Source organism: Homo sapiens, chromosome 8 (assembly GCF_000001405.40).
Source record: "Homo sapiens chromosome 8, GRCh38.p14 Primary Assembly".
Taxonomy (NCBI): domain Eukaryota; kingdom Metazoa; phylum Chordata; class Mammalia; order Primates; family Hominidae; genus Homo; species Homo sapiens.
Window position 1 is genome coordinate 102,009,999 of NC_000008.11, and position 23,499 is coordinate 102,033,497.

A 23,499-nucleotide genomic window follows, 5' to 3' on the forward strand; every position below is an offset into this window, starting at 1 on the left:
AGAAGACACTATATCGAGGGACTTACAGTGGGTGTTGTGGAGTCCTGATAAGATAAGTAAGCAACAACGAGGAAGGGGCCCCAGGTTGGGGAGGGCCCCACTGTGGGGAGAGAAATGACCAACTGTTCTGAGAAATAGCTAATCACAAACACGTAGCACCCTCCAGCAAGATGTTATAAAACTTCCCTCCAACCCTTGCCTCTTTGCACACAGCCCTTTCTCTGCTGTGCTACCCATTGCATACTTGCAACATATTTGCATACTTTCTCTAACAAATCTGCCTTTCTTTACCTACAACTGTCTTGGTAAATTCCTTTACTGCCCTTGCCACTGACCCCAAATAGTTGCTACCCCCAACAGGTGTGGTGCCCAGGGATCAGCAATTATAAAATATCCAAGAATATAGAGTAATTATGACATCATAAAGTCTGAGCTTTTTAAATTTGGTTTTTTAATTAAAATTTTATTCTCTAGTTTTCACTGTGACTTCAACTATAAAAGTCTTTCATGAGGATTACATTGGTTAAATATAAACATGAGAATAAGTTGAGTGTTGAGCAGGAAAACAGTAACAGGATCAGAAAGAAGTTTAAGCTGTTCATTTGGGCCTTCAAATACACTTAGCCTGAAAAACCAGGAAGAGTAAAAGGAGAGCTGTCGGCCTGTGGGAAAGAACAGCAACTTTGGCTTTACTGGTAAGGCAAAATCACCTCCAGCCTGTGGGTCTCTCTGACGTTTCCCTAGAGATAACAATTTTCCTTTACTTAAAAGTAATGAACAATTATCAGGTGATGGGGACTTCCTCTTCTTCATTGTGTTTGTGGGTGTTTATACCACATAAGATTACATCAGGAAACACTTTGGAGGTCACCATACACACTAACCAATGAGCAACTCAATCATTTCTATATATGTACAAGAAAGTTGATAATTTCAACCAAATGATCTTCATATATCCCATGAATAAGCTGTGAATTTCTTCAGGGAAGGATACACAAGAGAAATGTCACGTCTGGTTCCTTTTTAATCATGTAGTTGAGGAGGCAAAGACAGACCCACAGGAAACATGGACAAGAGACATTGTTTGATCTCTCTTGAAACTTACCTACTCTTCATTTCTTTCTTGACCTCACGGAGTCCTCTTTGACTTCTACCCATCCACCATATCCATTAACCACTTTCTCCAACTTTATGGTCAACCCCTACTCCCCCAACACAGACACAAATACACCTTGGTCTCCTTCCTTCTGTGCCCAATCTGAGAACGTTATGAACTCTCCATAGATCCTCAATATTCTTCTCCTCTTATCTTTTCAACCCTGGATCAATCCTGCATTCTTTACTCTCTGTTCCAACACTGATAACTCCAGGAGAAAAGCTACATCTTCCTCAAAGATCCCTTCGAGGAAGTCACGAGGTCTCACTTGAGAATGTTAACTTCCCAGCTAGGCTGTAAGTTTCTTGAGGACAGAAACTGTGTCCCATACTTCTTTGTTAAGACCAAGGGTACCCCTGAAGGCTCAATAAATCTTTGATGCAATGAATTAATGTCAGAAATAAGGAACTAGAAAGGTCAGTGCTCATTTGACAATCTTATGTATAAAACTTTCCTACCTAGTTTATGTGTAAATAAACACATAAAGTAGGTATGTGCTATTCCAAAATAATTCAAATTATTGAATTGAATTATATTCAAATTATAGCCTCAGAAGGGACTGCTACCTAAAAATCAGCATGTAAAAATTATTCTGTGGATTTCAGAGTTGTAAAACTCTTCAAATTTATCTTATAACTCAAAATATTTTCTAATTTAAGATCATCCTTCCTGTTAGTTAAAGCAGTGTAGTGAGATCTTACTATACTATATGAGAAACCACATTTAAAGTTTCACCAAATGGAAATTCATCTTCAGGTCCTATTTGTATCTCTCCCATGGAAAAACAAAAGGGTCTTTCCATGTTCGTCAGAAAGGCAAATATCAAAGGAATCCTGAAATATCTCATTTCAGGGAGAAGAAAGTCAACATTCTAATGAGGCAATGGCCACTGTGAGGTGTAAAGTTTCAATGGGACATTGCCCCGAAGGAGTCCTGGGTACTTTGAGTCCACACTGGGAATGCAGAATGCTCTTCCCTTAAGTCAGTGGCAAACTGGTCTCAGCTGTTGTGGGGACAACTGCTCTGCCAAGCAAACTGTGCTGCAGGTCATCAACCTCATACCAGCTTGGCAGGAACAAGCCCGAATGTCACCTGATTCTCCTACAAATGTAATAATATCCAACAAGCAACTGATTGGACAGCACACGATGTCATTTTCTCTAATTAAGGAACTCTCAAGAAAAACCAAAATAGCCACAGAGCACTGTCAGCAAAGCAATCAGTGGCAACAATTAGCTGTCAACTCCAACTCCCGGGCTGAGCCTTGGGTAGGGAGCTGGGCTAATTGCTAAGAGTTTCCAAATCAGCATTACATCAGGAGTCAAAGACGACAAGGACGTAAGGAGAGGCCAGAGCCTGCTACACACCAACAGCGCCTGCCTCAAACACTCCTCTAGTGCGGGGAGTAGCGGGATGTGTAATCACAGGAGCTACTGCCCAGTCATCTGCATTTGCTTGTTTGTTTGTTTCTTGAGAAGCAATGCAGAGGGATCTAATGATGAATCATGCAGTGAGCTTCTGAAACAGCTGAAGGCCTAGTGGCTGTGGTCCTTGCTGTTTCTTTACCCTGAGTCACCCTTCCTCTTTACCTGAAACAAGTCTACCCATTCTTTAAGATCTATAAGCAGTTCATGCCCATCTCCTTTAAAAGGGCTTCAGGACTGCAAAACACACATGAATTTTCCCTTTTCTCAGCTCCCATAGCAGATCACCACATTGCAAGGTCATTAGTAGCAGGAGTTGAGTAAACATATAAAGCAACTAATATAATACAGTTGTCACAATATGTAATAATATATAACAATCAGATATTTTTATATATACACACATACACTCACACACACACACAAATATATACCCTCACACACATACATACATAAGTATTAGAGGAAGCATCATTCTCTCCTTCTCAACATTCCTACTACCTAGGCACATAAAACAAAAACGTTTATCTTCTTGAAACTACTAGAAGGTGATTCTTCTACCTCACTACATCCCTCCATGCTCCCTCAAGGGAGTGAATTGAATTGCTGGCCTGAGAGTGTATAAGCACATGGTGGTCTAGGTACCTCCCCTTTTCTCTATTTCTGGTCTCAGCAGCTCATATTTTTCTTTTCCATGAAAGAAGATCTCAGCAATCAAAGTAATAGGAGATGTCATTGTAGATGAACCTGTTCATAATTTAAGCTCATTCTCCAATACAGCAGCACTGGTCCTACTGCTAATCTTTACCTCCCTGTTGGTCTGATGTCTACATTTAGTTCTCCATCCATAGCAAGCCCAGCCCCAATGGATTTAGCAGAAAGAATATGCCCAACTTAAAGACACATTTCTCATCCTCCTTTGCAGCTAAGGGTGACCATTGAGATTGTGCTGGAATTCACTGGCCAGGGCAACCAGAACAACTCTTTACCTGGGCTGACTCCACTGGGAGGCATGACCTCGTGCCCTTCTCTGGCTACCTGCTTGGAACACATATGTAATGGTCCCAAATTGAACAAGATATGTTAAAAAAAAAATTAATGATGTTGCCAGATGTTTTGACTTCATGTCTCTCACTAAGTGGGGAAAGGAATGAGTTTAAAATACCTGAGTCCAAAAACAAAAGGAAAGACAAAAGGAGAGCAGGTGCTTTAATCCAGAAATCACGGCTAGCATTTTCTATGGAATTAAAGGAAAGAGAACAGCTTAAGAATTTGGATAAATGTAAAATTAACCTTTATCAAGATTTGAGAAAACTAGAATTTTGGCAGCACACTCCCTTCACTGAATAACAAGATACTCAAAGTCAGGAAGATTAAAAAGTTGAGAGCTCTTGGCAAGAAGCTTGTCAGAGGAATGGGTCCTTGCTATGACCCTGTGGGCCAGGTTTTTGAAGCATCAATAGCAACTTCATGCAGGAACCTGTTTCTTAATCTGAGACCAATATGGAGAGGGCAGAATTGCCCTAGGAAGCAGGCTTCATGTGAGTCTCTGTCCATTTGGGCTGCTATAATAAAATACCATAGACTGCATGGCTTATAAGCAACATTTATTGCTCACAGTTCTGGAGGCTGGGAAGTCTCAGATCAAAGTGCCAGCAGATTCGGAATCTGGTGAGGGTCCTATTCCTGATTTATAGAATGGTGCCTTCCTGCTATGTCCTCACATGATGGAAGGGGCAAAATTCCCATAGGTTTCTTTTATTAGGGCATGAATTCCATTCATGAGGGCCCCACTTTCATGATCTAATCACCTCCCAAAGGCTCTCCCTCTTAAAACCATCTCTTTGGGGGTTGGGTTTCAACATATGAATTCTGGGGGGTATACAAATGTTCCCATCACAGCAATAGGTCTAAAAAGAAATCTCTTTATGAGAGAAAGCACCAGAAAATTCCCTGCTACAAGAAAGAGTTAATGTTTTTAAATGCTAGGAGCACAGAGCTCAAAAAAAAAAGTTGAAAAGTAATAAGTTTTAAATAAGCATATCAATGATAATTGTTCAACTAAATTGATAATTTAACTAGAAAATGCATTTAAATGCCTTAATTCTGTGCACTATACCCCCCACCCCACCAGGTTTTCCTTACAGTAGAGTTACCTTCACAATATTTTGACTTTGAAAGTTTTTAATCTCATTAAATACAAAGTCGACTGCAAAAAAACACAGAAGCCATGATTACATAAAACACTGCATCTAGTGCATTCTAGACATTCTAGTACACAAGAATTACTCGGGGATCTTGTTCAAATGCAGATTCTGATTCATCAGGTCTGAGATGGGACCTGTGATTCTCCATTTCTAACAAGATCTCAGTGGGTGCAGATGCTGCTGGCCCCTGGACCACCCTTTGAATACCAAGGGTGTACATGGTTAATATAAGCAAGCTGAAAGTTGAGGTGATGCTCCCGAGATGGCTAGGAAATCAATAAGTTGTGGAATTAGAATGATGTACTTCTCGACCCATAGACATCAGTAGTCCTTCTTTAAGATCTTTCATTGTGTACTCCTCTTCTGAGAAGCTGCAAACTTCTCCAGAATGCCCATTCTACTGTCTCATTTTTGTATTTTTTTTCATTTTTCTCTCTTTCTCATCACCCTATCTTGAAGGTATTTATGGCAGGGAGAAGCCAATCTTCCTCTCCCCCTTACCCCAGACCTCAGAATAAAGCTATTCTATTGCAACATTCCTGCCATTGTAGCCATGTATTTCCTGCAAAGGAACAAAGAAAAATGCCCAACACAGCCAACCCAAGAAAAGAATAAAATTAAAGTCCTCTCAGTTTTCCTATTAAGTTTTAGATTGTGGTTTTATTGCCTTCTTTTGATTTGGTTTCCATTCATTTTTGACTGGCAATTGTATTTACAACCAAAATTTTCCTTTAAGCCAGTGACTCTTAAAAAGTTGCAACACAGTTCTACATCCATGTAAGATACAGAAAACCACAGAGAACATCACTCTCATCCTAACAACAAGAAAAGCTTCATAATCAACAAAATAATACTTGTATTGAACTCATTAGAGAGCTAAGGACACAAGGCAACGAAGTGAACTGAGTTTACCAAGAGTGGCATGCCCTTCCAAGGAGAAAGGGGTCACACAAACTGTCCCCTTTGGCAGGGCATAGTAGGAAGAGGCAGCCATCATGAAAGCAGGAATAAGAAAACAGCTAAAATGTTAATGAATTTCTAAAGGGCAAGTGTGGGCTAGTATGACAGTATCCCTGGGAGCCTCAGAAACATGAGATGAGCCCCAGCTCTCTCTCAAGCTTGTTCCCAGGGTTCTGCAATGAACACTCATTAAAAAGAAGAAGGGTGGGGCTGGAGACTGGGGAGTTCTCCTTTTAGTAGGGCACAGGCAAGAAACTCCATCTACCTCCCAAACTTCATTTCATATTAAGCAAAAGCTTTCAACAACTGGTAGAGAACCAAAACATCTTCCTAGCCCCAAGGTCCAAGCAAAAATCCACTGATTCTTGGAAAGGGGTACAAGCAAAAGCCTGCCATCTGCCCTAAGGGAAGGACAAGAAACTTGCAGGTCCAGGATCCTGTGCTGACACAAATAAGAGGTCTGTTACCAGTAAGGGAGGGGCAAGAAACTCTCTCCCACACAAAACACTCCACAGATACAAGGCAAAGGTTGGCTGCCTTGAAGAGAAGCAGGAACACTAACAAAGCCCCACTCCCAAGGCCCAGAAACATAAGGCCTACCTAAGACTGAGGCTAGCCCAGGTGAACTGAGAACTCACCACCACTACCACAGCTCTGCCTAGTACAATGAACAAGAGCAATCTACTGCTAGCAGACGAGCACAAACATGAAGAAAGAGGTCCCCTTTGTGGAGCAAGGATGAAGAGTTTGCTGAAAACTGAGGATGGAGCTTAGACATGGAGAAAAACCCTCTGGCATGCCAAGCATAAGGTCACTGCAGTCCACCACTGGAGAACTTTGGAGTCTGTTACACTGAAGGTAACTATGGCAATCACAAATTCAACTCCATCCAAACTCAATACTAATTACCAATCTTGTTAACTACTAATAAGATTGACTCAACCCTTCATATCAACAATCTTACAGAAGAAAAAATATACCCAATTCTGAGTAACAATATTATTTACTTTATTATCTACTGCTCTTCTACAAACACTGTCCAACATGCAATCAAAATTACAAGACACTCAAAAAAGCAAAAACAAAAACAAAAAAACCCTCACCTCATTGTCAAAATAAAGCAATCAACAGAGCTGGAAAGAGAGATGGCCTGGATGTGAGAACAATCAGAGACTTTAAAATAGCCATGATTAATATGTTAAAGGCTCTCATGGAAAAGGAAGATAAAATGCAAGAAAAGATAAAGGATCTTAGATGAGAGAGAGAAACTATAGAAAATAAACAAACTTAAAGATAGATTAATAGAAATTTTATCCAAATTGAAATCGAAAGAGAAAGAATTTTTTTAACAAAAAGATCATGCAAGAGCTGTCAAACAGTATAAAATGGTCTAATATGCGTATAATTGGAGTACCAAACAGGGGAGAGAAAGATAGAGGTGTCAAAGTAATTAAAATGGGAAAAGAGTAGCTTTTTCAATATGTGATGCTCAAAAATTTAGACATCCATATAAAAAGTTATTCTTGACCCTTATCTCACAAAAGACATAAAAATTACCTCAAAATGGATCATAAAACTAAATATAAAGCTTAAAGCTTTAAAATTTCTAAAAAAAAAAATAAGAAAATCTTTGCATCCTTCATTTTAGCAAAGATTTCCTAAATAGTACTTAAAACTACTCTTCCAGGCTGAGCGCGGTGGCTCACGCCTATAATACCAGCACTTTGGGAGGCCAAGGTGGGTGGATCACCTGAGGTCAGGTGTTTGAGACCAGCCCTGTCTCCACTAAAAATGCAAAAATTAGCCGGGTGTGGTGGTGGGCACCTGCAGTCCCAGCTACTCGGGAGGCTGACGCAGGAGAATTGCTTGAATCTGGGAGGCGGAGGTTGCAGTGAGCCAAGATAGCACCACTGCACTCCAGCCTGGGTGACAGAGCAAGACTCCGTCTCAAAAAACAAAACAAAACAAAACAAAGTACTCTTCCATTTTTAAAAATTGATAAACTGAAATTCACCAAAATGTAAAACTTTCTACTCTTTGAATGAGACTTTTAGGACTTTTAAAGAAACAAACTAGAGACTGAGAAAAAGTATTTGCAAAGCACATATTTAATAAAGAGTTTGTATCCAGAATATATTCTAATTAGCTACATATCATTAAGACAAATAATTTTTAAATGGGTGAATGATTTGAACAGACACTTTATCAAAGAAGATACGCAGATGGCAAAGTAGGACATGAAAAGGTGTTCAATGTCATTAGGGAAATGAAAATTAAAGCTACGATGAGATAATGTTATACGCTCAAATTGCTAAAATTACAAACAATGATAATACCAAGTGCTAGAGGAGCTGTGGAACAACTGAAACTTTCATATATTGCTGATTGGAATGTAAAATGGCACAGTCATTTTGGAAACAGTTTGGGGGATTTTTAAAAATAGTGTTTAACATATACTTGCTATGCTTTCCATATGATACAATAATCCCACTCCTAGTAATTTACCCAAGAGAAAGGAAAACATATGTCCACACAAAGGCCTGTTCATGAATGTTTGTAGCAGCTTTATTCCTAGTAGCTAAATACTATAAACAACCCAAATCTTCATCATTTGGGGAATGGATAAACTTGTGGTATACCACACAATGGAATTCTTCTACTCAACAATACAAAGGAACTAACCACTGATACTTATAACAGCATGGATGAATCTCAAAAAAAATGCGCCAAGTGAAAAAATCTGAAACAAAGGCCACGTAGTATGTGAGGCCATTTATATATTCTGGAAAAAAGAGAAACCAGAGAGCCACATCCAGATTGTGGTTGTCAAGGGCTAGAGGTAGAGGGAGTAGATTTACTATAAAGGTGCACACTTTCAAGTGTTAGATACATTCTACCTCTTGATTGTGAGGTAAAACAATGATTACATACATTTTTCAAAATGCATCAAACCATGTATTTTAAGAGAATGAATTTTACCATGTGTTAATCATACCTCAGTAACCCTAACCAAAATAGACACATAGTGCTATGGCAAAAGAATGGTGCTTGGTCAACTGGATCTTCACGTGGAAAAAAATTAACTTTGACCTTGTACTTCACACCATGTACAATGAAATCAATTCCAGACATATTATAGATTGAAATGTAAAGGTAAAATAATATATGAAATTCATAAAATAATGAACTTCTGTTCATAAAAAAGAGTAAAAAGGTAAACCACAGAAAAAGAGAAGATATTTGTAACACATACATCCTACCAAGGATATATCTAAAATATATATTATTAAAAATGCCTACAACTCAATAAGAAAGACAATTTAATTTTTAAAACAACCCAATTTTTTCACATTTTTAAGACCTGAAGGGGCTTCTCACAAAATAAGATACCCAAATGGCCAATTAATATATGAAATGGTGCCCCACCTCATTAGTCTATAAGGAAATGCAAATTTAAACAATATGATGTTACTACATACCCACCAGAAGAGCTTAACTAAAAAAACAAAAACAGAAAACACCTTGTTTTGGAAAATATGTGGACTAATTAGAACCCTCATACACTCCTGATTGTGGCATAAATTTTTAAATTGATACACCATTTTTGAAAACTGTTTGATAGTATCTACTAAAGCTGAACATATGCCTGCCTTATGATCCAGAAATTCCCCTCCTGCATATGTATTCAACAGAAATACGTATATGTAACTAAAAACATAACAAAACTGACTCAAGAAGAAATAGAAAACCTAAATAAATCAGAAACTAAATCAGTTAGTAAAATTTCTTTCCTCAAAGAAAACATCTGGCCCAAACTGTTTTACTGTCAAGTTCCACCATACATTTAAGTAGCAAGTAATTCCAGTATTTTGAAAACCATTCCTGACAAGGAATATCGCAGAAAGATTTTAGTCAATCTCATTTATGACTAAAACTTAGCAAATTAAATCTAGCTAAGTATAGAAAAGATAACACATCATTACGAAGTTGGTTTTATCTCAGCAATGCAAGGTAGCTTAACATTAGAAAATCCATTAATGTAAACTAAAATTAACAAATGAAAGCATAAAAATCATTTGATCATCTCAGTGGATATAGAAAAGCATTTAATAAAATTCAACATGTATTTATAATAGAGACTTTTAGCAAACTAGGAATAGAAGAGAACATCTTAAGGTGATAATGAATATTTTAAAACTACTTCCATCAAATGAATGTACCATAATTAATTTAATACAATTTGCCTAGTGTTGGATATTTATATTCTCTCCTTTTCATTTTGTATTATTTTACTATCATAATGTATGCTGTGATGAACATTTTTGTGCATGTCAAGTTGCCAGTGCCTCAATTTCCTCATGTATAAGATGGAAATAAGACTCATAAGGCTAAAATGAGGATTACATAGAATGTTAGGCTTATGTATGTCTTAGGGAATCTTGGAAGAAAAGTGTTGTTTACAAACCTAAGAAAAACTTGTTCTATACTTACCTAGTGGTAGATCTCTCACAGCACACTGCAGGCTCAAGTCAGAAGAAATCACTCTGTCAAAAATAAAAGTATTGTCTTAGCTTATCAGGAACTAGGAAGAATAATTAAAAAGTCTAAATACATCTAATAGATGTATTTATAGATCTGTTAATATACATAAAATACAAATTTTAAGTCTTAGCATTGTATCACACTTTAATATGCCACTATTTCTTTATTATTGGTTCTACATTGGTTCTGATTGTTTCTAAAATCGGAATATAATATCTGCAGAATGCAATCAGTGATGGGGATTATTGCTTGCTCCAGGATTCCCTTGTATCATTTGCTATTGTCCGCTTATCCCACTTCAATCCCACTAATCAAGTGAGTATGACTACTACCATGCTTGCTTCATCTGACTGTGATATACAGCACTTCAGTTTTGCACAGTAGTCAGAGTGATCATTCTAAAATCTAAGCATAACATTCTTCTCCTGGAACCCCTTCCACAACTTTCTCTTCCCTGTGGATAAAAGCCAAACTCCTTGCCATGACATCTAAGGCACTTCATCATTTAACATCTGCCTACTTTTCTAGCCTCATCTCTCATCTCTGTACCATTGCCTGAGCTCCAGCTACTTCACACTTCCTTCAGTTCCTCCTCACCCCTTGCCAGCTCCCAGCGTTCATACACACTGCTCCCTTGGCCAGGACCACCTTTCTTCCTTCCCCACTCACCTCCACCTGACTAACTCCTACTTGTCCTTCCATTCTCCACTTAAGTGTTGCTCCTCCAGTCAAGTCATCTGCTACACTTGACCATCTTAAGCTCATTTATTAACACTCCCAAAGAACACTGCATTTTTTCTTTTGTAACATCATATATACAAATATACATTCAGTATTTCTTGTCTTCCCTGTAAGTTCACAGATCATGTCTGTGTCTTTCACAGCTGGATCCTCAATGCCTAGACCAGGACTGGTCTCACAGAAGAAGTTTAATAAATATTTATTGAGCAAAAGAATTAATAGAGCTATCCTCAGTCCTTAGCTTTCCAATTCATCTTTTGATTCATATTGATAATTTAATAAGCTTCCTACCATATTTCATTAATCAGGACTCACTCATTGTAGAAACAATACTATTTTATATACCAATTATAAAGAAAGAAATGGCACATTATAGTGTGATACAATGCTAAGACTTAAAATTTTTATTTTATACATATTAAAAGAGCTCTATTGGACATTTTTGGATTTGTATGATGCCCATAAAAAAGGAAAATATAAAGGTATAAGTGAAATAAATTGGCTTACGTATTCACATCCAGAACCACAGTATTAACAGGGTACCAGGCTGAGGTGGGTGGGGGTCAATCAGCCCATAGGCCTCTAGCCACGCCCTGGCACCAGGTGCCTCCACCATGGTGGAAGAGACACTTTCTGACCTTCCACTAGCCCGGTGAATGACAGTGTACTCCCAGCAGAGACTCTTCTCCCTAACTACTTTTTTGTCCTATTAAAATACCATTTTTAAGGACACAGTTTTTTGATACATAGAAGTTTCTTAGGCATGAGCCGTCACATTGAAGTAGAGAGGATGGGAGTGCCAGAGGTCTCCTAATCCCCATCCAGCACTCTAGGACTCAGGATCTCAGGTTGGAAATACTCAACCATGTCTGGGAACATGAGGAGGAAAGAGACACAACCGGAAAAGCCATAGCCCTCTCTGTGACTCAGTTTCCTCATCTGTAAAATGGACATACAGAATTAGATGATGTATTTGTACAGGGTCCCAGCAGAAAAGAGATGATACACTCAAATTGGAGCTTCAGTGCAGGGGACTATTTACAGGGCGTGAACAGGGTTAAGGGAACCACCAAGAGGTGGTGATGCAGGTGCCTCCCATTGGCCAAATCCAAATAGAAACCAGAGGTCGGGGAGCCCATTGATGGGATCCATGGAGACCAGCCTCCCTGGATCCAGAACAGTATGGAAAAGGGGGAGGGTGGGTCTGAAAGAACAAATGGAGACTCCCCAGCACAGATCATCTCTGAGTCCCCACAGAACTGAATAATCCAGTATTCTATGATCATTTCAGTAAAGCATTAAGCTTTGCAATAGCAAGAAGAGATTTATGTTTATTCCAAATACTTGAGGAAAACCCACCAGGATGCAATTTTTCATCATTCCATGTGCTTAGCTCAGATGACTGCACTCTCTTGCAGTTCTTGGAAATGGTTCAGATTGAGAACACTGCACTATACAGACCCTGTTTTTCTCTAATTGAGCTCTTAAAATGTAGGGGGATTCTGTTTTGAGCTAGTATTGAGGTGTCCCCTCTGGTCTCATCCTCCAGATCCTTTTCTTTTCAGAAACAGGTTCCTGCAGTGTCCACTACCTTACAGAAAACAGGTTCCAGCAGGAGCAAAGCAAAGGCTTTGACTTTCTAAGCCAAGCCCTTAGAGTCTCAGAACATAATCAACATGATGAACTAGAGCAATACTTACCACCCTTCCCACACATCCAGACCAAAAACCATTCTTTTCTGCTGGAAGAAGGTATGGAGAGAAAGGTAGAACTGTGTAGTCATTGTGGTTCCCGAGAAAGAGGCTTCCAGTGAATCCATTTGCCCCCATCCAAGCCAGTAAATGGTAAGCACCACATGTGTTCTTGTCCTCTTTCCCCCTCACAACTCATTTTTAGAACTCTCATTCTTTCCCTTGACTGGGCCAGTGCTCCAGGTATCACCCACCCCATCTCACACCCTCCCTTCAGTGGCAACCAAGTCCCATCAGCACTCTCAAGTCATGGGGTGCTTGGTCCTAGAGCCAAGGTATGAGATTTGTCATTTCAAAAATCAAAGATCCTTTCAAAAATTTCATTTGAATAAATAGCTGCTTCTAAAGAAGTTCCAAGCATCACCCGCCCTGAAGGCCCAGGCAGTGACGCTGACCACAGTTTCTAGCATCTGTTCTTTCCTGAATTTAGAGATGATGCTATGCTCCAAAGCACAGAGGGTTTTGCTGTAACCATTATACTGAAGCCCAACTAGGCAACACTGGCCATTAGAGAGATGTCATACTGTGCCGTGAAAGCACTCTTAGAATAGAGAGGAATCACACTGGGTTTAGAACGAAAACTCATTTAGAATAAAACAAAAATAAGTTTTCAGAGAAAAACATCTCTTTTTTTCTTTCAAATGAGTCAGATGATTTTTACAAAGTGAATGAAGACTCTTTGATTTCTGGCAAAGACAAATAAATAAACAAAAATAAAAGGAGGAGAGAGGCTGCCCATTCCCAAGGGGGAATCTAGCAGGGGCAGGGAATTTGGTATATTGACCTTGACCAAATTGTGTAAACTCTCTGTCTCATTTTTCTCATCTGCAAAAGTGCCAGGGATTTGGATTAAAACAGTTATTGAGGTCCCTTCCAGTTCTAAGAATATATGGCCTTCAAGCTAGGAAAGGGGCTTTCCAGTTCCGAGACCAAGGATTTGCCATAGAAAAATGAAGTAAAGAAGGAAGGTCTGCCATTATCAGCCAACCAGGGCTCTAGTCTGACAAATAACAGAAAAGAAGTGTTGTGTGGATCTTGTCATCGTGGTGCCTTGACCCGTCCTAGCTGTGTTTCCGTCTCAATGATAGGATACAAATGGGCTATTCCAGGCATCTCAAGAATGCCCCAACCATAAAAGGAATTCTCCTAAGTGGCCCCTCTGTGACATTACACAGAACTCCTCTTTACATGGCAGTTTCACCCAGCTTCAGATTCAACTCTAGATGAAAATATTACAATTGGATGATTTGACAAGTGCTGAATCTAATCCTTGTTGCTCTTTTGCCAGAGTTCTTATAAAGAAGAATGCCAGATGTTGTACTTGTATATTTCATGCGTAACTGAATGGGAAAAAAACAGAACACAGCAAACCTAATTGTAATATTTAACTGTTTTTGACAACCCACAATATAAACATACCAGAAATACCATATTTTCAAAACTGTGGCAAAGTCAAATGTCTCTCAAACACACACAAAAAAGCCTGTCATGAGTAATTCCGAATAAAGCAATCTGTCAGTTGTAAAATGCAAGTACTCCTTTATAAATAGTTTGCATGCTTCCAACTTGCTTAATAAATACCATGTTAATAGATCAAAAATATTCAGAGAGAACTTCTTCAAGCCCAGGAAACATGAACTAATCAGTTGCTTATGTAACATCAGGCTGGATCTCCCTTACCATTTACTGGGTATAAATCAAACTTATCAAGGGCACTTATCAGGGGCAAATCAAAACACCATCGATTGTCCAAAACAATTCCTTCTCTTGCTATCCGTTTCCACTCATCACATAGCCAGGAGCCTGAACACCATTTAATACTCCACTTTCTCCTCCTCTCATCAATAACCAAATCCTGTAGATAGTGCCTACTGAGGAACTTTGTCTTCTGGTCTCCACCCCATTTCCATTGCCTTAATTAAGCCTTCGTCCTCTACCTATTGGACAACTGCAAGATCCTCCAGCCTTCAGCATCTTCAAGTAATTCGTTCATCTTTAAGATTTCTCTTTCTCAAATACACTTTTGATACATCACCCCTCTGATCATACTCACCCTTCAGTGGCTCCCTGCTGCTTCTAAGAAGAACTCAAAATTCAACACAATGTCCTCCCTCACACCCCATATTCCAGCCTTGTCAAGTTGCTTTGTTTTCCAATTATCAGGATACTTTGTTCTCCATGTCCTAACAAACCAATTGCTCCCCATCCCAACTCCAAAAGAGCCCATGTAACCATTATGTCTTTTTCAAGAGGAAAACTTCTTCCTTGGGCCCTGTATGACCTGTCCCCTGCCTCTCTCTCAACCTGACACTACCCTCCTCCTAGGCTCGGCTCTAGCTGTGCCAGCCCTCTATAGGTTCTGCTTCCTTCCTCAGTGGAGACATTTCAACATGGAGGCCCCTCGCTAGCTACTCTTCATTCACCTAACTTGAACTCATTCTTCAGGTTCATTATTTGGCTTAAGGTCAATGTGACTCTCTCAGTGAGACCTCCCATGATGCCCACCCCAGAAGGAAATTTGGTCTTTGCTACATGCTCTGCAGTTCACTATTCTTTTCCTTCATTGCATTTATCACAACTGATGGTTATATATTTAATATTGAGGTTATGACTTCAAAGCTCATCACCCACAATGAATACTCACTTCTGTGAAGTACAGATGGTTCAGGTTCAAAGTTCATCCCCAGACTCTAGCACAGTGCCTAGTACTCAATAAAAGTTTAAAAATCAATGAGTGGTAGCTCCAGCCTTACTCCTTCTGTACATAATATTCTGTTCTCCCCAGCCATGCAGGTAGAAAAGTCCACTGCCTCCCTTGCAACTCAGCTGTGCCCTGAACAGAATTAAATTGGAGCACCCATGATATATAACGCATTTCCATCTTATTCTTTTTTCTACTAGACTACAAACTCCTCGTGGGCAAAAATCATGTTATATCTTTGAGGCATGTGGATCCTTAAGTATAACAAAAGGTGTGCAGAGGAGGAACGTATGTCTACAGGTATACATTTTGGAGGGTGCCACAAGGACAGCAGTGTATTAGTCCATTCTGACACTGCTATAAGGACATACTTGAGACTAGGTAATTTATAAAGAAAAGAGGTTTAATTGACTCACATTTCCACAGGGCTGGGGAGGCTTCAGGAAACTTACAATCATGGTAGGGGAAGCAAACACATCCTTCTTCACACAGCAGCAGGAAGGAGAAGTATGAGCAAAAGCAGGGAAAGTCCCTTATAAAACCATCAGATATTGTAAGAACTCACTCACTGAGGGTAACTGCATCAATGATTCAGTTGCCTCCCACCAGATCCCACCTACAACACATGGGAACTACAGTTCAAGATGAGATTTAGGTGGGGACACAGCCAAACCATATATCATTCTGCCCCTGGCCCTTCCCAAATCTCATGTCCTCACAATTCAAAACACAATTATTCCTTTCCAACAGTACCCAAAAGTCTCAATTCATTCTAGCATTAACCCAAAAGTCCAAGTCCAAAGTCTCATCTGAGACAAGGCAAGTTCCTTCCACCTATGAGCCTGTAAAATCAAAAGCAAGTTATTACTTCCTAGATACAATAGAGGTACAGGAATTGGGTAAATGCACCCATTCCAAATGGGAGAAATTGGCCAAAACAAAGTGGTTACAGGCCCCATGCAAGTCTGAAATCTAACAAGGCAGTAATTAAATTTTAAAGCTCCAAAATAATCTCCCTTGACTCCATGTCTCACATCCAGGTCATGCTGATGCAAGAGGTGGGCTCCCATGGCCTTGGACAGCTCCACATCTGTAGCTTTGCAGGGTACAGCCACCCTGTCAGCTTCCTTCACAGGCTGGTGTTGAGTGCCTGTGGCTTTTTCAGGCACACAGTGCAAGCTGTCAGTGGACATACTATTCTAAGGTCTGAAGAATGGTGGCTCTCTTCTCACAGCTCCACTAGGCAGTGCCCCAGTGGAGGCTCTGACCCCACATTTCCCTTCTGCACTGCCCTAACAAAGGTTCTCCATGAGGGCTCTGCCCCAGCAGTAAACTTCTGCCTGGAGATCCAGGCATTTCCATACATCCTCTGAAATCTAGGCAGAGGTTCCCAAACCACAATTCTTGACTTCTGTGCACCCAAAGGCCCAATACCACATGAAAGCTGCCAAGGCCTGGGGCTTCCACCCTCTGAAACAACAGTCTGAGCTGTACGTTGGCTCCTTTTAGCCATGGCTGGAGCTGAAGCAGCTGAGATACAGGGCACTATGTCCCAAGGCTGCACAGGGCAGGGAGGCCCTGGGCTTGGCCCACAAAACCATTTTTCCCTCCTAGGCATCCAGGCCTTTGATGGCAGGGGCTGCTGTGAAGGTCTCTGACATGCCATGGAGACATTTCCCCATTGTCTTGGTGATTAACATTCAGCTCCTCGTTACTTATGCGAATTTCTGCAGCAGCCTTGAATTTCTTCCCAGAAAATAGTTCTTTTCTATTGCAGCATCAGGCTGCAAATTTTCCAAATTTTTATGATCTGTTTCCTCTGGAACACTTTGCCACTTAGAAATTTCTTCTGCCAGATACCCTATATCATCTCTCTCAAGTTCAAAGTTCCACAGATCTCTGGGACGGGGCAAAATGCCGCCAGTTTCTTTACATAGCAAGAATGACCTTTACTTCAGTTCCCAACCAGTTCCCCATCTCCATTTGAGACCACTTCAGCCTGGACTTCATTGTTTATATCACTATCAGCATTTTGGTTAAAGCCATTCAACAAGTCTCTAGGAAGTTTCAAACTTCCATATCTTCCTATCTTCTGAGCCCTCCAAACTGTTCCAACCTCTACCTGTTACCCATTTCCAAAGTGGTTCCCTCATTTTTGGGTATCTTTACAGCAGCGCCCTACACCCAGAACAAATTTACTGTATTAGTTGATTCTCATGGTGCTGTAAGGACATATCTGAACCAGGTAATTTAGAAAGGAAAGAGGTTTAATTGACTCACAGTTATGCAGGGCTGGGGAGGACTCAGGAAATTTACAATCATGGTAGAAGTGGAAGCAAACACACCCTTCTTCGCACAGTGGCAGGAAGGGGAAGTATGAGCAAAAGGTGGGAAAAGCCCCTGATAAATTCATCAGATCTTGTGAGAACTCACTCACTATCCAAAGACCAGCAGCATGGGGGTAATTGCCCCCATGATTCAATTACCTGACACAAAGGGATTATGGGAACTGTAATTCAAGATAAGATTTGGATTCTGGATCCCAAACAAGTTTGAGGAAATTTGAATATGGACTATATTTGAGATGATTCTGTGAAATTATTATCTTAGGTGTAATAATGATACTGTTTACACAGAAAAATGTCCTTATTTTGAGGAGCATGTAGAAGTATTCAAGGGTGAAGTATCATGATATCCTCAGTCTATATTCAAGTGGGTCAGGAAACGAATATGAACAGTTATGCATACATCTTACTTAAACACAAACTTGAGTCTATGTGTATATACAGGAAGAAAGCAAGAGAAAGAAAGCAAATGTAGCAAAATGAAGAGAGTATGACTACGTACTATTTTCTATCAACTTTTCTGTAGGTTAATTTTTTAAATAAAAAGGAATGCAAATAAATAAAGCAAGCCTCTTTCACATGTGAACTAAATATTCTACACAATGCCCAAGTATACTCCTTTGAAGCTCTAAATGCACTAGCCACTGAGGGGGAAACAATGCCTGCAGCCTTCATGTTGGAAAGGATTGTTTATCAAACCCTTGGGGAACCCAACCTTCTGATGGGAAAATAATAGCCCCTGGGCAGTGCCATTAGGAAGACTATCTCTGGGAGGAATCAAAACTAATCTGGTTAGCATTTCCTGATGACCCAGGCAAAGTGGTCCCTGCCCCAACACAAGCCAGTCTCTTTTCTACTAATTCCTTTGCCCGCCATATGTGAATTACACTGCTCCTTGTGCTAAGTGACCAGAAAGTAAAAGATGAGTATGATGCAGCCCCAACCTTCTGGTCATTTATTCCAAAGGTGACCATTTAATTCATTGCCCAAACCAAGATAATTTTGAGAGTAAAGGGGGGTACTAGCCAGACAAGGTGCTGAGACAACAGGTATAAACTGGGAGTGTCCCAGGAAAATTTGGATGTATGGTTGTCACCCCAGAGTGGTGACAAACACATAAATAATAGCAACAACAGCTAACCACATAACAAAATAATATAAAGAAACTGTCAAGAAGACATTACCTGGGAATTCGGAGGAGTGATATTTCTTTGAAGGAATCAGGAAGGACTTCGTGGAGGAGGAGGAATTTTAAAATAATGATAGGATCTCTGCAGATAGAGATAGAAGAGAAAGTCATTCTGGATAGAAGAAACTGTGTGAGCAAAGACCAAAGTAGTAAAATGTAGGGTGTACCAGGAAGTGGAGGCAACTAAAATAGCTGATCTGAAGAGATGTCCATAGGAAAGACAGGGAAATGGGCCTGGAGAGGTAAAAATGGAATCACAGTGAAAAGTGTATACTTAATCCAACAGGCAACAGGAAGTCACTAAGTGTTTTTGGGGAGGACAGGAATAAGTCTGTGGCGGGCCTTGAATGTCAGGCAAAAGACTGAAAGCCAGAGAATCAGATCTTTTACAGAGGGAAGGGTCTTCTACAATAGAACTCATAAGTGAAAATCGATATTACCTAGCCTGCAAACATGAATGCTATAAGCCAAAAGAAATTGTCACAGACATTGATGTCATAAGCTTTTCAAAATCGCCTTTATTCTTTCTTGTGGGTGATTCTGTTTCATGTGCTGGGCCAAGTATTATTTCTCCTGTCAACGTTTCATCATAAAAACCTTCACAGCCCTATTTCCATAAAGTCGCTGTCACAGTAACAAAAATGAGAGAGTTAAAATGTTCAGAACTATCCAAGCTAGAGGTGAAAACCAAAAACACAGCATTCGAGCTGAAGGAAAAGCAGGTCACTAAAAGGGGAGGGATGTGATAAGCTTGCGGTCAGGACGAGAAATTACATTTTGAAGGCACAGCTCGCTTTAATGCAAGTCCTTCTACTGCTCTCAAAGAAGCCTGAAGCACTCTCACATTTAATAAGATTAATTATATTATTCCTAAAGTTTATTTATAGATCTTTACTGGGTTGCATAGAAAATTTCAGGGGAAAATGTTAAAAGGCGGGTTTTCAACTATTTTCAGTTTTATTCCAGATACTTGTCTAGACAAGAGCACATGCCTCCTAAAAGAATAAGTTATTCTAGAGAAAACTATTAATATCAGATCTTTCCGGAAAAGGTGAACAACACTGGTGAGGCAATCTCATTTCCAGAGGAGAATGGTTCAACAGGAAGCCAGCGTTCTGGTCTCTAAAGACAAAGCCAGCAATATTTGTAAACAGAAACCATGTATTCCCTTTCTATAGAGGGTGTGCCCCACTCTTCAAAACATATTCCCTGGTCATTTAAGGCCATGAATGAATCAGAGAAAGGCCTGAGCTGGAGAAGTAGTTCTTGATTTTTCAGTTCACAAGAGTTTTATATCCACAAAGAACATCCAAGAATAACATCCAGGAAAAAACAAACAGAAGCCAACTTTCAAAGGCTTCCACTGGTCAAAGATGTAATAATTTGAGCTTTCAGAAAGATAACTGCAATTAAATGGAACCCATTAAAAATGCTTAAGTCCACAAGTTCATGTATGTATATAAACCTTTGGAGGATGAAACAGAACCAACTTATTATTTTGAAACGTGGTCGATAAAAAGAATCAAATATTTATCTTGTCTCTCTGTATGAACTACATCACTGGGTAACCAAAAAGTAAATAAGGGGCTGGGCACAGTGGCTCATGCCTGTAATCCCAGCACTTTCGGAGTTGGGCGGATCACTTGAGGTCAGGAATTCAAGACAAGCCTGGCCAACATGGCAAAACCCCATCTCTACTAAAAATACAAAAATTAGCTGGATGTGGTGGTGCACGCCTGTAATCCCAGCTACTTGGGAGGCTGAGGCATGAGAATCACTTGAACCCACGAGGTGGAGGTTGTAGTGAGCCACGATCACACCACTGCACTCCAGCCTGGGCAACAGAGTGAGACTCCATCACAAAAAATAAATAAATAAATAAATAAATAAAATATAAAGTAGATAAAGGGGAGCAATTCTTTGTATCCCAAGTGATAAATGATAAAAAAAAAAAGTCAAAATGGAATATCATGACCTTAGAAACCCCAATAACTAAATGAATCTAAGCATTAACCATTGTTAATATTACAAAAAGACAAACAACACAAATGTTATGTGCTTCCTGATGTAAAAACACACCTATAATCTTGCCAAAGGAATTGCACCTGAGTTTGATCAAACCTCAAATTCCAGCCACCATGCTGCAGGAAATACAGAGGAACACAATGAAATGTACCGTAAGATTGCAATCAGCAAAATCTAGTCTATGAGAAACTCTACAAGTCACAAGGCTGGGTTCATCCACAGATAAACGATAAGGAAAAATAAAGGGATGGAGCAGGAAGGTACAAATTAAAAGAAAGGTATACCAACGTTCATTAAATGAGCAGAACTAAGCTATAGTACCTAGAGATGCATAGCTGGGCAACTGATATAAAAGTCCAGGTAATGGTTATTTATGAAGTGAAGGGGGTTATGATGGAGATAGGTCACACAGAAGAGACTTCTAGGGAGGCTGGTGAAGTTCTCTTTCCTGGCCTGAACGGTAGTTACAAATGAGTTTGCCTTATGCTAATTCATGATGCTACATATTTGATGTGCAGTGGAGGTTATATCTGTGTTTTATTTTATAATGATGTAGTTTGATTTAAAAAGAGTAAAGAAAAATATCTCCATCAGGCTCCTTGAAAACGTGAAAAATCTGATCGTTTTCAGAAGTATAACAGGTAAATAAGGCAATAATAATTCCTATTGAAGGAAGGTGAGCAAAAATATATTCAATAAATTGCTATGATCAATATTAGAAAAAAGTTAGCTAGGAATAAATAGGATTTGAGTATGAAAACATGAAAGGAAAGATGTTCATTAATCATAGAACTCCGTGGCCTCTGATCTCCCTGTGATCCCTGGAGGTGTAGTTCATTTCCCCATGTACAAAAGGGGATTGTGTACAAGCCTAGAGTAAGCCCTATGTAAGAATCATGGCTTAGAGTACTAGAGTTTTGGAGCAAAACCAGCCTCTTCTGCTAATTTTCTCTCTCTGAGTAACAGCTGCTGATTTTTCCCCTTGAAAGTATATTCTCAGGCTCTTGTGGAGACAGAACTCCTGCCCTAGGACACTTGATGACCATATGAGCTGAGCTGCCCACCATAAACTAACTGGTCATCATTTAATCCACCAAACCATAAAATCAGCTAAGTGAAGTCACACTCCGTCACCAAGTGGAAGTGGTGTATAAGATGGGTCTGTAGCAAGTCCTATGGATACAAGTAAGCCATATGATTTGATGGCTCAGATTCCTACGGCCACCTACTCCTGATACATTGCTTCCTCTCTCTCAAACCACACTTACGGCTTCAAAAGGAGTTCCCTGTAACCAGATGATGATAGCGAAAAAAAAGACTTGGATATGTTTTGCATATGATACTCCATTGTATAGCAGCAACAGCTAGAACTAAGCTGTTGTATATCCACTCAGGGATGGCCCTGAAAGATAGCGTAGAGAGAAAATCCTCCCAGTTGGCAGAACTTCATAACACATCTGGATATCTGTTTTGGCTAGACTGAAAGATGGCCAGAAGTACAAATCTATACTAACTCATACATAATGGATAATGATTTGGCCAGATGGTCATCGACTTGGAAAGAACAGAATAGAAAAACTGCTAAAAAAAAAAAAAAAAAAAAGAGGACTGAGGAATAGGCAGATGGATGACCTCTTAGAAGGGGCAATGAGTGGGAAATATTTGTATCTCATGTGCATGCTCACAAAAGGACGTCCACTGCAGAGAAGGCTGTCAATAATCAGGGGGACAAGATAACATATTCTGAGGATGTCAGCCAGCCAGTTCTTCCCAGCCACCCTAGTAACTTCTCCATGGACTTATCTTCTGAGTGGTCATGACAGTAATCAATGAGTCTATGTGTAGGCTCACCAAGTGAATCTGGCTAGCACCATTACTGTGTGTTCACCCTGCGAACAGCAGGGGCCAGCAATGAGTCCAGGTGGACTAGTTAGTCATGCTATGGTGCGTGAATTACACTGGATTCTTTCCAGTATGAAGTGGGCAAAGATTTGTTCTTAGGGAAATAAACATTTCCTGTGGATATGGGTTTGCCTTTTGTAAGTACCACCGATAACATACTTAGAAAATGCCTTATTTACCATTGTGGCACCCCTCAAGACATCACTTCTGATCAAGGCGCTAATTTCACAACAAAATAAGTGCAGCAATTGACTTGCAGCCACGGAATTCTCTAGTCCTGCCATATACTCCATCATCCAGAAGCAGCTAACCTGGTAGAATGATGGAATCACCTACTGAAGGCTCAATTGTCACTAACTGAGAGATAACCTCTTGAAAGCTTATGGAACTATATCTTACAGGATGTAGTACATGCTTTGAATCAACAACCCCTAGAGAGTGGTATTCCTCCCATATCTATAATACATGGGTCAGAGAATCAAAAATTAAAATGGGATAGTCTATTCTAACTATTATGCCTAATAAGCTAGTCACAAAATTTTGCTACCTGTGCCTA

General features: G+C 39.8%; 1 protein-coding gene across 13 annotated transcripts in view; it reads right to left on the reverse strand.

Moving 5' to 3' along the window:
* NCALD (neurocalcin delta) overlaps positions 1–23,499 on the reverse strand; it is a 438,366-nt gene that overhangs the window by 323,457 nt on the left and 91,410 nt on the right. For 8 of the 13 annotated variants that reach the window (NM_001040630.2, XM_047422315.1, NM_001040627.2 and 5 more), the window contains exon 2: positions 10,239–10,291. The gene's annotated coding sequence lies outside the window, so the exon portion shown is untranslated. Of the gene's footprint in view, positions 1–10,238; positions 10,292–19,011; positions 19,099–23,499 lie in introns of those variants that run through there. The other 5 variants (NM_001040625.2, NM_001040628.2, XM_047422316.1 and 2 more) reach the window with 2 other exon arrangements.